The 16,051-nt window shown below is 39.2% G+C and overlaps 1 protein-coding gene and 1 pseudogene across 1 annotated transcript in view; one reads left to right on the plus strand and one right to left on the minus strand.

The window, feature by feature from the left end:
* Positions 1-16,051, plus strand: part of GPR39 (G protein-coupled receptor 39) — a 229,778-nt gene that overhangs the window by 61,822 nt on the left and 151,905 nt on the right. The window lies entirely within an intron of this gene.
* On the minus strand, positions 10,351-10,804 carry YBX1P7 (Y-box binding protein 1 pseudogene 7; annotated as a pseudogene).

The raw sequence follows: 16,051 nt of genomic DNA on the forward strand, positions 1-16,051 counted from the left end.
TGACATCTTCCAGTAAATCTAAATTAAATGTATTCTTGTGAATTCTAATTTCAAGTGAGTTTAATTGAACTTGGGAGGGAAGCTACCACTTAGTGAGTAAAATGAAAATGAAGTAATTGAATATTTTTCCAGAATTGTATTTGAAATGTGCTCCATCAAATGTTGTTTCAGAACCCAAGTGACCAGCTGCACATGGTTAATATTTGGAAAGGGAAGAGGAGTATTTAAATGTCAGCTTGTAGCCACTAGAAGGGTAAATACAATAGCCGGCTGTTCAGTTACTAGATGTGAGCTCTACTTGGCATTCAAAGCTTTTTTTTTTTCAAGTTGGAAGTTCAATAATGTGTTCAAGGGAATTAAGATGAGTTTGGACGACTAAAGCACAAAAACCAAAACCTTCTTTCCCCACTTCTCCCCCTTCCCAGCACACAAAAAGGACAGCAGTGCTGCTGATTTAAAATTGCAGGCATTTTGATGGGCTTAATCAACTGATTACACATTAAAGTGTTGAACCCTTTATTTAATGACTATTTATTAAAGGCCCGTGGTATTCCAGGCACTGCGGAGGATAGACGATTGAACAGGACTTAGTCTATGGCCTTAAGGAACTTTTTGTTCCGTAGTGAGATGAGACCTGCGAATTAAGTGGTATAGAAGAGGAAAATGTGACGCATATGGTAAGAGCAAGCACCAAGTGCTGAAAGAAGGTAGACTTCTGGCTGTGAAAACAAAGCACTCCTCTCAGGGGAGGTGGTATTTGAGCTGTAAATATTTGCAGAAGGAAAAGAAAGCATGGGACCTACTTGGAGGATGATGAAGCATTTAATTGGGCTGGTATGGAGGATTTGTGGAATGAGACAGTACGAAATAAAATAGCTGGTGTGGTTATAAAGATCCTTAAGTGGGTCTGTACTTTATTCAGTACACGGCCTCTCAGCAGGGAAGGGGTTTGATCAGAAACAGGAAAGAAGAATCTAGATGTAATGCTCACTATCAGAAAAATTCAAATCCAAACCACAATGTGATACCACCTCATACCTGTTAGGATGGCTACTATCAAAAAACCAGAAAATAGCAAGTGTTGGAGAGCATATGGAGAAATTGGAACCCTTGGGCACTGTTGGCAGGAATGTAAAATGGTACAGCCACTGTGGAAAACAGTATGGAGATTCTTCTCAAAATTAAAAATAAAATTACTGTATTATCTAGCAATCCCACTTCTGGATATATATCCAAAAAAGTTGAAATCCAGGTCTCAAAGAAATATTTGTAGACCCACATTCATAGCAGCACCGTTTGCCATAGCCAAGAGAACCCTTGGGCACTGTTGGCAGGAATGTAAAATGGTACAGCCACTGTGGAAAACACCGTTTGCCATAGCCAAGAGATGGAAGCAACCCAAATGTCCATCAACAGATGGTATATACGTGTAGTGGAATATTATTCAGTCTTAAAATGGAAGGAAATACCATCAGATACTATAATGTGGATGAACCTTAAAGGCATTATGCTAAGTGAAATAAGTCAATCACGAAAAGATAAATACTATATGATTTGACTTATATGAGGTATCTAAAGTTGAAAAATTCATAGAAACAGAAAGTAGGATGGTGGTTGCCAGGGACTAGGAGGAGGAGGAAATGGCAAATTGTTGTTCAGTGGGTAAAGAGTTTCAGATTTGCAAGAAGAAAAATTTCTGGAGCTCTGTTTCACAACAGTGTGAATGTACATAACACTACTGAATTGTAAACTTAAAAATGGTTAAGATGGTAAATTTTTTATTATGTGGGCTTTCAAAACCATAATAATAATAAAAAGAATATAGATACAGCGGCATGGTATGAATTGTATTGGGGTTGAAAGAGAGAGAAAGTGGGAAATCAGTTTAGAGGCTGTTGCCCTAGGCTTGATGAGATGTAACTAGGGCAGGGACAGGAGGAAGGAAGAGGAGTTCTCAAGATAGAATTAGTAGGATTTGGCACCTGCAGGAAACTCGATTGAAGGAGAGTGTCAGAGATGGCTTGGAGGTTCCCAACCAATGCTAACGAGAAAATGATGGAGGCTTTCCCAGAAATAGTGACTTATGTGGGGAGATAAGGAGTTTGGTTTTGGATTAATTCTGACTGCAGGTTGTGGCCAATTGTGCTGGAGCTGGTCTAATTATACTGTGTGCTAAGAGCTGTTGGAAGCTCTTTTTTGTTTGTTTTGCGTTTTCTCTCATGTTTCTATGTGTTTGACCTTCAACTTCTTAGTTGGCCTTGCTCAATGGTTTATCCCTAACTTTTCAAATTAAGGGCGAGTTGCACATTTTCAAATGTGGGTCTCTCAAGAGTTCGTTCACTGAATCCTTCAATCTGGGGTTGAATATCTACAGGATTGGTTGTAAAAATTAGGGAGCTATGAGGCTTTCTTTACTGAAAAACACCGTTTAAAAATTTTTTATCCTTTTTCATTAGAAATTTAATTTCCAACCTGGTCAAGTGAACACAATGCCCTTACCTTTTTAGTGTGGCATCTTATTCGTCTAAGCTGGAAGCAGCCTCAGAGGTGTGAGCTTATTTCTTTACTTTAGGCATTTCACAGGGACCAGAGGTTTACAAATGTATTCGTGTCGGTGCTCTATAAGGTCATCACCTCAAGATTCCCAGAGTGGTGGCAGTAGTAGATTTGTAATTCCAAATCTATGTTTCCACAGTTGAGAGAATTCTGCTGAAAATGGAAAAGGAGGGTAACGAAATAGACTGGTTTCACCTTGGCATGGATTGGTCTACAAAGATAATCACCCATTTGAGTATTGAGAAGTGTCTTTTTAGTGTTTGCTATACCAGGAGGTAAAAGAAACATTTGGGGACATTTTCAAAGGCCAGGATCTGGGATTGGAATGGGATGCAATTTTAAGGTCATTATTCTGTCACTTATGTCAGAAAGAATTTTTGTTACTGATATTTGTGAGCAAATGATTGCAAGTGCTGACATGAAGTTGAGCTTTGTTTAACACATTGCATACATATTTCAGCCCTGAAAGACTCAGATACTTAGAAAATTTTCCTTAGGCTTTGGAGAACAGGTTACATTTTGAGACAAGATTTTTATAGAACAATATGTGACTCTGTAAGAAATTATAAATACTTTTCTGAAAATCAGATGATCTTGGAGGCAGTTCCTTAATGCCACTGCTCAACCTTGGAGAAGAAGATGAAATTCACAGCAATGCTCCAGCCTCAGCATGCCCTCCCAGGCCTCCTGATTTTGTCAGGAAATACTTCCTTGAAGATTAAAGCTATAATTCAGAATCTAAGTCAAAGAAGAGTACCTTATTTAAACCCATGATTTTAACTCACAGCAATAAGGCCACAGCAGACGGGAGCTGAACATCTCTGTAGACTGGACCATCTGGACCATCACTTGCAAGTCCTTCTCTCAACATTGTTGACGTCCCCTAAATAATGGCTCTGCATTGACTGGTGCCACTGTCCCAAGAGTGGTTCCATGCTCAGCTCCTTTGCCTGCCTGTCTGCCTCTCTTTGTAGACAAGCAATTAACTGATTAGATCCAGACCTTAGTATTTGACTTGTTTCTTTTTCTCTGTGTCATGGGAATTCACTTCCTGTTTTAGGACATTTTCCCTTTTCAGCCTGATGGACCTGAGGATTTTTTATTCATTCATTTTTGACCCAGTGTTCACAGATTTTTACACTCATGTTTCTCTGTTAGGTGCCCCTAAATGCCTCCTTTAGTGAGATGCCTTTTCCTCCCCCAAATCCAGAATTGTTCATCCTTTTTTTGTAGAAGTCATGGAGTTTTCTCGAGTGAGAGATAGTAAAAGGCCTGGAGCTCGAGCTGGGCTGGCACAGGTACATGGTGGCTACTGGGGGCATCACTTCTACCACATTACGTGGATCAAAGCAAGTGGACGAGCAGTTCAGATTCAAGAGAAGGGGAAACAAGCTCTAGGTTGGGATGTGGATGTCCTGGAGGGGAGGAATTGTGGCAGCCAACTTTGGAGACTCCTACACTAGGCATTAATTTACATTCCCTCACAAAATCTTTGGAAACACAAATATTTTGATACCAAACTGTTGACATCTTTTGGGTGCCAGTGAACCTATATTTTCTTACTCTAGATTCCTTATTAGTAGTAGTTTGCAAATCAGATAAAGCCAAAATAGTTTATAACAATGTCTGTTTCTCCACCAATGCTTTACCTTGTATTAATAAATTGAACCTTACCCATGTGTTCTATAAAAAGAAATTCTTACAGTGTAAGTACTTAGTGACTATTTAAACTGACCTACAGAATTATCTTCCACTCAATGTTAAGTACCACAATAATATCCCTGCACTGTGCACGGCAATATAGTGTAGCAATGGAGTGCACGGACCTGAGAGCCAGATTGCCTGAGTTCTGATATGAACTCTGCCACGTACTAACTGTATAACCTTCAGCAAGTTTCTTAAGCCCTTTGTGAGTCAGTTTTCTTATCTATAAAATGAGAGACCTAATAATACCACCATATAGGGTTGTAATGAAGGTTAAATGTGCTCAGAACAGTACTAGACATATAGTAGCATACAGGATGGTTCAACTACTATTGTTGTTGTTGTTGTCATTGTTATGACAGAGCGATCAGCACTGAATGTTTAGGGCAAGTAATGTGAGTGGGACAGTTGGAACAGCCAAGGTACAAGGTCACCTCTCACCCATGGAATGCCATGACTTCTGGCCCACACTTATGCCCAATCCATCTTGCTTCATCCAGCTCTAGTGGGTGCATGGCACGAATGTTGGGCAGGCTGGGCAGCCCTGTGTGTTGCCTTCACTTCCATGTAATGATGGAGTGCTTTTGTATGCCTTCCATGTTGTGAAAGACAAAGACTCTCTCTATCATTCAGGCCGTGATTGGCCGTTCTGGTCTCAGAGTTATATGGCTAATGTCAGTCTTTTGGTGTTATACCAGAGCCTGGTAACAGGCTGGTCTTGTCTCTCAAAAGAATATCTAACCTTAGCCCTTGCTGGAGTTGTTTTAGTCCAGGACACAGTTGCTTTTCAGTTTGTTCACCTATGGGACATCACAAAATCTCCAAAATGCATTCACATTCATGCTGAGAAATCCAGAACTGCATTCTCAGCCAGGGCCTAGGGTTCAAGCCTCAAGAATGTTTGTGGCATCTGGAGACCTGCTTCCTGGAGCAGGTCCTACTAAAAAAAAATGACAATATTCCTGGGTACTTTAGATAGAGGATACTGCAAAATACTCAAATTGGATGTGGCTAGAAATATGCTATCCCAGGAATCCAGATAGTATGTCAGCTTTTCTTCTGTTAGTTGGTGGATCAAAGTGTAGGAGTTTTTCTTGACCTTGATGGGAATGTCTCCACTCCACCCATACATTTAAACCCAAGGAACTGAGTTCAAAACACAGGTCCTGGATCATGCCTGTGTTAATGACCCATCTTCAGTTCCTTAGGCAACTCTCTAAAGCTAAGTCTACTTTTTAGTGTAGTATCACCTTCACTCATGATCACTGATGTGTTGCGCTAGTTACAGGCATGTGGCTGGCACCAAGGGCCAGTGTTCTAATGAGCATGCCTATGGCCATTGCAAGATGTTAACATATCCCTGGAGCTGCCTGGTAAAGAGAATTCTGTGTCCTTTGTGTCCAGCTGTTCAGCAGACTAGAAATCCTGATAATGACTTTCTTGCTTAAAATAAGTTTAAAATGCTGACTAAATCATTTAAATATGTTTTCAAAGGCATTAATGGGTTAGCAAAAAATAAAGAACCTAATAGGCCACAATGGGCATCAGAGAGATGTTGTGACCCCATGCAGGCATTTGCCAGATTAGGTGAACTTGGCCATTAGTTCATACAGCCCTGGGAGACAGATGGACAAGCCTCAGATGGGAAATCCAATTGGTCCATCCAAAATGGGAACTATAATCGGAGACTCCCACTATCCCAATCCATGTTAAGTTAAAACCCCAAATAATTGCACCTTCAGGGTAAGAATAAAGTAGGAATAAGCCTCAGGGGATGACAAGGAAAATTGCTTGTCTCAATCCTTGATTCTGAGTGGAAGACAAAAATTCTCCTATAAGAATTTAAAATCTTTTTATAAGAATTCACACACCCTCACACAGTTTATATGCTCTGACATATTTTGTAGCCTGAGCTCACACTGTTTAGATGGTCTGGAAAACCTCAGATAGAAAATCGAGTATTAAGTTCAGGTTGGTTGTGCCAGAGGCACCTGGCAAGAGGAAACAAATCCTCTCTGGAGGAACTCACTTGTATCCAAGACCTCAGAGAAGTCTCACAGATAATGTCAGAAGTGGGGGAAAATGAGCTCATATTTTGGGGGCAAAATTGTGAAACCACTTATGGAAACTGTACTAAGAGTGGAGAGCCTGAAAAGACAGTGATTTCAGATACAGGCATACCTTGGAGACATCGCAGGTTCAATTCCAGACCCCTGCAAGAAAGCAAATGTTGAAATTAAACAAGTCGCATAAAATTTTTGGTTTCCCAGTGCATATAAAATTTTTGTTTACACAATCTGTAGTCTAAGCATTGTGTCTAAAAACACAATATGCATACCTTAATTTTAAAAAGCTTCATTGCTAAAAATTGCTAATGATCATCTGAGCCATCTGTGAGTCTTTTTGCTAGTGAACTGTCATGCCCCAATGTTGTTGACTGCTGACCAGTCAGGATAGTGGTTGCTGACAGTTAGGGTAGTTGTGACAATTTCTTAAAATAAGACAACAATGAAGTTTGCCACTTCGACTGACTCTTCTTCAACAAAAGATTTCTCTATAGCAAGCAATACTGTTTTATAGCATTTTATCCAGATTAAGACTTCTTTCAAAATTGAAGTCAATCCTCTAAAATCCCTGCTGCTGCTTTATCAACTAAGTCTAAGTAATATTCTAAAGCCTTCATTGTCATTTCAACAATGCTTATAACTTCCTCAGCAGGAGTAGATTTCATCTCAGTAAACCACTTTCTTTGCTTATCCATAAGAAGTAACTTCTCGTCCATTCAAGTTTGAATGAGATTGTGGCAATTCAATCACATCTTCAGGCTCCACTTCTAATTCTAGTTCCCTTACTATTTCCACCATATATGCTATTATTTCTTCACTGAAATTTTGAACCCTCAAAGTCATCCGTGAACGTTGGGATTAACTTCCTTCAAGCTTCTGTTAATGTTGATATTTTGACCTCCTCCCATGAATCATAAATATTTTTAACGGTATCTAGAATGGGGAATTCTTTCCAGAAGGTGTTCAATTTACTTTCCCCAGACTTATCAGAAGGATCGCTGACAGCTATAGACTTATGAGAAGTATTTCTTAAATAATTAGACTCAAAAGTTGAAATTACTCTTTGATCCATGGGCTGAAGAATGAATGTTGTGTTAATAGGTATGAACATTAATCTCCTTGTACATCTCCATCGGAGCTTTCAGGTGACCAGGTGTCTTGTCAATAAGTGGTAATATTTTGAAAGGAATCTTGTTTTCTGAGCAGTAGTATCAACAGTGGGCTTAAAATATTTAGTAAACCATGCTATAAACAGATGTGCTGCCTTCCAAGCTTTGTTGTTCCATTCATAGAACACAGACAAAGTAGATTTGGCATAATTCTGAAGGACCCTAGGATTCTGAGAATGGAAAATGTGTATTGGTTTTAACTTAAAATTACCAGCTGCAGCTGCATTAGCCCGTAACAAGACAGTCAGCAAGTCCTTTGAAGCTTTAAATCCTGGCATTGACTTCTCCTCTTTAGCTATGAAAGTCCTAGATGGCATCTTCTTCCAGTAGAAGGCTGTTTCACCTACACTGAAAATTTGTTGTTTAGTGTAGCCACCTTCATCTACTGTCTTAGCTAGATCTTCTGGATAACTTGCTGCAACTTCTACATCAGCACTTGCTGCTTCACTTTGCACATTTATGTTATCCAGATGGCTTCCTTTCTTAAACCTCATGAACCAGCTTCTGCTGGCTTTAAACTTTTCTTCTGTAGTTTCCTTACTTCCCTCAGCCTTCATAGAATTAAAGAGAGTTAGAGTCTTGCTCTGGATTAGGCTTTGGGTTAAGGGAATGTAGTGGCTGGTTTGATCTTCTATCAAAACCACTCAGACTTTCTATATGTCAGCAATAAGGCTGTTTTACTTTCTTATTGATATGTTCACTGGAAAGGCAGTTTTAATTTTCTTCAAGAACGTTTCCTTTGCATTCACAGCTTGGCTAACTTTTTAGTGCAAAGGCCTAACTTTCAGCCTAACTCGGCTTTCGACAAGCCTTTCTTACTAAGCTTAATCATTTTTAGCTTTTGATTTAAAGTGGGAGATGTGTGACTTTTCCTTTCATTTGATCAATTAGAGGTCATTGTAGCATTATTGATTGGCCTAATTTTAGTATCATTGTGTCTCAGGGAATACGGAGGCCTGAGGATAGGGAGAGAGATGGGGGAATGGCCGGTCAGTGGAGGAGTCAGAACACACACAACATTCATTAAGTTCACCATCTTATATGGGTATGGTTTGTGGTGCTCCAAAACAATTACAATAGTAACAGCATATATCACTGATCACAGATCACCATAACAGATATAGTAATGATAAATGCAATAAATTTTGGTTATTCTTACTGTATTTCACTGGATTATAGTACAGTGAGAATAACCAAAAATGTGACACACAGCTGAAGTGAGCACATGCTTTTGGAAAAAATGGTGCTGATAGATTTGCTTGATGCAGTGTTGCCACATGTCTTCAATTTATTTTTTTAAAAATACAATGTCTGCAAAGTGCATTGAAGCGAAGCATAATAAACCAAAGCATTCCTGTGTCAGTATTAATAGACACAGATTATAACTAGGTTTAATATGCTTAAAGTAATTAACAAAGGAACTTAGGAAATAACAAAGGAATATGATGCTTTAAATGATTAAGCAGAGTTGACAAAGAACCAAGTTAAAATTTTAGAAATGAAAATTATAATAGTCAAAATTTAATGATTATATTTAACAGATTTAACAGCCAATTAGACCTAGCTTTAAAGAAGATTAGTGACCTGAAATAAATCTAAGGAAAGTATACATAATGCAATCCAGAGAGGTAAAGAGATGGAAAAATGAGAGGATAAGAGTCGTAGAGGGTAGAATGAGAAAGTTTACAGATATCTAATGAGAATTTCAGAAGGAGAAAGGGAGAATATTGGAAAAGAGGCAATATTTAAAGAGATAATGTACTTATCTAAAACTAATGAAATTAAACAGTTTCAGGAAACATATTTAATCTCAAGAAGGTCACATCAAAAAGTCCACAACTCAACATATCATAATGAAATTGTAATGCCAAAGACAAATGTAAAATAGTAAAAGAAAAACAGTGTATATAGCTTTCAAAGAAAACAGCCCATTTTTAGGTCCTATTTGCCTTCCATTTTGACCAGTGGGGAAACTAAATGGTAAGTAGACAAATTTGCTTACTTCTTTCTCCTGGACTTACTTTCTTTCTGACAATTATTTAAGACCTTTGTTAATAGGTACTTGCCTTTTGGAAAAATCAAGTTGTAAACTTTTTCTCCAAATTAAAAATGAAGTTCTTCAACATCTCAACTTGACCAGATATAAAACAATTTTAAAACCTTTAAAAGCGTATTGAGAAAAACCGAGCTTTTCAAAAACAACATGCCTGTCATTATCAAAAAGAGGCATATTTAGGTAAAAATAACAAAAAAAAACCCTTGCTGCATAGATATTGCAAATAGTTCTAGTTATCTGGTCAGTGGGTAAAAAGCAAGGACTTAAGGTCTTCAGCTCCAATATCTTGCTCATTTCTTATTGCTGGAATTTCATATCCTTTTCTTCCTGTTGGATGACTAAATGGAGTGGTGGTGGAGATGGTAAGCCCACATTTACTCAGCCACATTCTGCTCAGCCTCAGGAGTGGATGAATTCTCAGCTTTTGTCTCTACCATCTTGTCGTTTGGGGTGTTCTGAGCATCAGGGCTGGTACTTGAAGTTGTGGCTGCCCCGAGGCTGAAGTGTCTGCTGACCCTGGGTTCATTGCCTTGGTTTTCCTTACCCATGTCATTGCTGTCCTCTCTCGGTCATCTTTGGCAAGGAGAGCTCCTGTGGAACCGTGGTCTCTAGCCCCATCCACATCCCGCCTCACTGGTTTACCTTGTGCCCCTGCGCCCTGGCTGTCAGCACCTCCACTTCTTCTCCCTGCAAGGGAGGGTGGGAATACTGTGATTGCCCGCAGGTTATCTGAGTGTAGTGAGGTGTGCACCCTGTGGGACCACTGTCCCATCCTGTTCTTTTTCTCTCTCTCACTATTGAGGACCCCTATGACGCGGAGTCTATCATGGTTGCAGCCTGCTCCACGTTTACCTCTTTGACCTGGAATTCCACCAGGGCCTGTGACACTTGCTGCCAGGGTCCTCCTCTCCTTAGATGACATCGAACTCCACAGTCATTCCATATCCTACCCTGCGAAGGTACTTCCTGGGGTTATTCTTCTTTACAGCAGTCTGGTACACAAATGCATCTTCCTCGGTATCATTCCTCTTGGTGAAACCATATCTGTTTCTTACGCTGAAATATTTTATTGTCTCCAAAACCTTCCTTGCAATGACCTTTTCCCCATTGGCAGGCGCCGGCGCTGTCCGTGGTGCTGGGCTTGGTGCCGGCAGCACCGAGGGCAGGGACGAGGGCGGTGGGGGCCGCTGGCGGCTCCTGGGCCGGGGACTTGCTGCTCCTAGCTCTGGTGACTGTGACTGGGGCTGGCGGCAGGCCGTGGGGCTGCTCAGGGTTCCCTGCGGGCCGCTCCCTCCTGGACTTTCTTGACTGTGTGACTATATTCTTAATTTTCCCGGAGGACTTTTTGATGAGCCTTTAGAGTACTCTGTGAACTTCATTTTGACTCATCAGTGTGGCTGCAGGTACCGGGTAAGGAAAACCTTGGGTATGCATGGCTGGGGTGGGGACCAGAGTAGGGGGCAAGACACATTTGTATGATCAGTTAAATAAGAGTGTTGATACTGGGTGGATCAAACCTTTATTCTAATTCTTTTTACATATTTTCCTTTTATATATGCACTGCAGTGCCCTAAAAAATGCCATATTAGGAGTGCTGTATTTTTAATTTTTAGTACAAAAATTACTTTTCTGTATTAAAAATGTATTTGTATTAAATTTATGATCAATTTAGTCAGTTACTGACAGCTGAAAAGCTACTTCAGAGAGGAGAGGAGGCTCAGCCTAGATTCCCTTTGGACACAGGCCCAGGAGCTTGCAGGCAGAGGATCAGCTCTGGGAGGCCCCAGAGAGAGTTTATGGTGAGCAGAATCCTCACCAGGTAGTCCCCAGGCACCTGGCATGTGGCACCGTGCTTGCTCCTGTGCTCACCTGCTTTCTGTCCTGCAGTCAGCAAGCCACTCTCTTCTGCCAAAGCCTGGCTCACTGGGGACACAAAGGTCTTCCCTACTAGTTGAAAGAGCCAGAGAAATTCATCTCCCTTAAGGAAGGAGAGGAGAGAGAGAAATAGAAGTTTGGAGGGGCAGGATGCAGCCTATTAATGCACATATACTTTTCTTTGCTTCACTCTAGAGTTTGGAGATAGCGAGAGATGAAAAGAAAGAAATGGAAAGGGATATTATGAGGGAAAAACCCACTAAGAATGAGATATTCTTAATAATCTAAAGAAATCCAGTTTTCTTTTTTTCAGGTCAAATCCTGCTTGTCCTCGGAATTCTTTAACCATCAGCTGTAGATTTAGACCGAGGAGGTTTATTCGATATTTAACGTATACTTAATGGTCATCTGCTGTATTCCAGACACTTCTACACAACGGAGGGTTTGATAGTGAAAAAGAGACAAAACTCTTTGACCTTGTGGAGTTAACATCTAGTCGGAGAGACAGGAAGAACCAGTACCTAGAGCATGCCGATCGCTGGTGAATGCTACAAAGAACAAGCATTAAGTGACCTGGGAATGTGAGGCAGGAGGGGGAGGATGATGGCTATTCTAAGAATGATCAGGGAGGCCTCAGAGGCCAGATGATGTGGGCACAGGCCTGAACAGGGTGAGGGAGGTAGGGTTTCAAGGGACTGAGTGGGTTTGCTTCTAGTAGCCCCTCCTCAGCCAAAGAGGAGCCTCCAGGGACCCCTAATCCAGGCTAGACAGGAGGTACTGCTGTGCAGCAGCAAGAGCCTCTCTAACTCCCCAAATATCCACCCTGGTTGGAGGGAGATGATGATAAACGTGTGAGGGCTAAAGGGGCTGCGAAGGCTCTGTGGAGGGCAAAGGCCACAAATACCAGGCCCGCGAGCTGAATTCATAACTGGGCACCAGCTCAAGTGTGAACCACCCTGGAAGGAACTGCTCTAATTTGCGAACCTTGAACCAAGCTGAGCCCTAAATTAATCTCTTTTTTTTCTCACTGAACTGAGCACTGAACCAAGGATTTTTTCAAAACAGCAACAGCTAGTAAGCCAGTTTGAACCAGAACCAAGCCTATTCATTTTCTAAAAGTATTGAACTGGAACAATATAGGAATATTAAAGTATCTTTCGAACTAAACCAGGATTGAACTGATCATTCACAAGTGCCCAGCTTGAGAAGAGAAGAAATTCTTTTTGGAGAGACAATTCTGTGTATATTAAATGTCTGCCTTGAGAGTCATTCCCTACCAAAAAATTACACTGCCTTGTGACCTCTTTTTAAAATTTTAATCTTGGGCCTAATTCTAATATTTAACTTTTCATTTGTACATTTCATTTGCCTACTTATTCAAATGTTCTTGATGATAGGAACCACATTTTGTATTGCCTGGAAATGTTAGCACAATTCCTGGGATACAATAGAAGTGTGGGTATATATAGGGGAATAGGGGTGTAGGAGTGATTGGTGGCATGCAATGACCAAAGGCTTGAAATTTATTCTGCAGGCCAGAGGAAACTGTGGAAGGGATTCAAGCAGAAAGTGGCAAGATCAGATTTGAGTTTTAGATGGCACTGTGGGGAAGGGGTTAGGAATGGAGATTGGTTCGAAGTGTGTATTATAGTAATCCGGGTGTGAATCAGTAAAAAGCAGTGGTATTGTGTGAGCCCCAGAGGCAGAAACTGCCTAGATTCCAGTCCTAGCTTCACATGTCCTTGCTGTGTGACCTCAGGCAAGCCACACAACTTCTTTGTGCCTCACTCCCCTCCCCTGTGGAAGGTAGATGCTAATGATGCTTACTCCATCCTGTGCTTTTGAGGTTTATGTGATACATTGTGTGTGAAATGTAGAGCACTCAGAATAGTACCTAGCACATAGTAAGTGCTCAAAAAAATTCATTATTAATTTTCATTGATAAAGTAATTATATATATATACACAGCACATATATATACACCACATATATATACACCACATATATATGTATACACCACATATATATACACACCACATATATATATACATACCATATATATACACACCACATATATATACATACCATATATATACACCACATAAATATATACACACCATATATACACCATATATATACATACCATATATATACCATATATATACATACCATATATATACCATATATATACATACCATATATACACCATATATATACATACCATATATATACACCATATATATACATACCATATATATACCATATATATACATACCATATATATACCATATATATACATACCATATATATACACCATATATATACATACCATATATATACACCATATATATACATACCATATATATACCATATATACACCATATATATACACCATATATACACACCATATATACCATATATATACACCATATATATACACCATATATACACACCATATATACCATATATATACACCATATATATACACCATATATATACACCATATATACGATATATACCATATATATACACACCATATATATACCATATATACACACCATCTATATATACAATATATATACACACCATCTATATATAATATATATACACACCATATATATATAATATATATACACACCATATATATATAATATATATACACACCATATATATACCATATATATATACACACCATGTATATACCATATATATACATTCCATATATATACCATATATATACCATATATACCATATATATACATACCATATATATACCATATACACACCATATATACACCATATATATACCATATATGTACACCATATATATACACCATATATATACCATATATATACACCATATACCATATATATACACCATATATACACACCATATATACACCATATATATACACCATATATACACCATATATACACCATAGATATACCATATATACACTATATATACTATATATATACCATATATATACCATATATACCATATATACACCATATATATACCACATATATACCATATATATACACCATATATATACCATATATACACATTCCATATATATACCATATATATACATTCCATATATATACCATATATACACCATATATACACCATATATATACACCATATATACACCATATATGTACACCATATATACACCATATATATACACCATATATACACCATATATATACCATATATGTATACCATATATACCATATATATACACCATATATATACCATATATATACACATACCATATATACCATATATATACACATACCACATATATACACTATATATATACACACCGTATATATACACACCATATATATACACTATATATACACACGCCATATATACACACACCATATATATACACACCATATATATATACACCATATATATATATACACCATATATATATATACACCATATATATATATATATATATATACACACACCATATATATATATATGGTAGCAGCAACAGGATTGGATATGGGGGAGGAGAGAGAAGGAGAAGTTCATGATGAGTCTGCCATTTCTGATATGTGCAGTTAGGTAGATGGTGACCACATGAATGTAGGCCATTTGGGAGAGGAATCAGGTTGGAAAGGAAAATTTTAAACATGTTGAGTGGAAGGTGCCTGCAACTCATCCACTTAGGGTTCTCCAGCAGATGGTGGACTGCATAGGTCTGGTTTTTAACAGAGCACCACAGGCTATAGCTAGATACAGACATGAGAGTCATTTGCAGAGACCTAGGGTGTGTTGAAATCACCAGGAGAGAATGTCAAGTGAGCGGAGCAGAGGGACCATCAGAGAAGGTGGGAATTCCAAGTAGGGAATGATCAATAGTAATAAATACACCAAAAACTTCCGATCAACTAAAGACTGAAAGTATTTCCAGTGGTGATATGGCTTCATTGACTCCATAGCTAGTGGGGTTTCTCCAGAGGGAGGAGAGCAGAAGGCAGGTTATGGGGGATGAGGAGCAGCTAGGACGTGAGGGAGTAGGGAAAGCATGTATAGGCAGGTCTTTAAGGAACCTTGATTGTTAAGAGATGGGAGACAAGATACAGGTTTCTCATTGAGTTGCCTTCCCTAAATCAGGGTTTGGTTTCACTGGCTAAACCAGGGGGACCTTATAAAAATGGTCCAAGGCGTAATATGGCTGATGCCTCCACATCCTCCTGAGAAAGACCTTCTCCAGAACACCCTACCTCTCCTAGCCTCTCCTTTCAACTAATGACATGAACGTGTTTATTGCCCATCTCTTCGCCAGTAAAATCCAGGGTCCATGAAGGCAGGCATCTTTGCTGCCTTGTTCCTTCTGTTTTCTCATCATTCAGTAATGCCTGGTATTATTTGGCATCAATTCCTGTCACTCGCTGTGTCACTTTATCACACAAGGCTTCTATTATGGGACCCACAGGAGAATTTTCGCTCAGGCCTTATACCAGGCATGATTAGGCCTTCCCTGAGCAGCCGAATTGTTTTCATCACACGGACACTATGCCCTGTTTTATGTTTCCCTCTGATTATGCTTTTCTCTATGCTGTGGTCACAGAAATGGAGTCAAATTTCCATCCTATTTCTAGCA

This window comes from Homo sapiens, chromosome 2 (genome assembly GCF_000001405.40).
Source record: "Homo sapiens chromosome 2, GRCh38.p14 Primary Assembly".
Taxonomy (NCBI): Eukaryota; Metazoa; Chordata; class Mammalia; order Primates; family Hominidae; genus Homo; species Homo sapiens.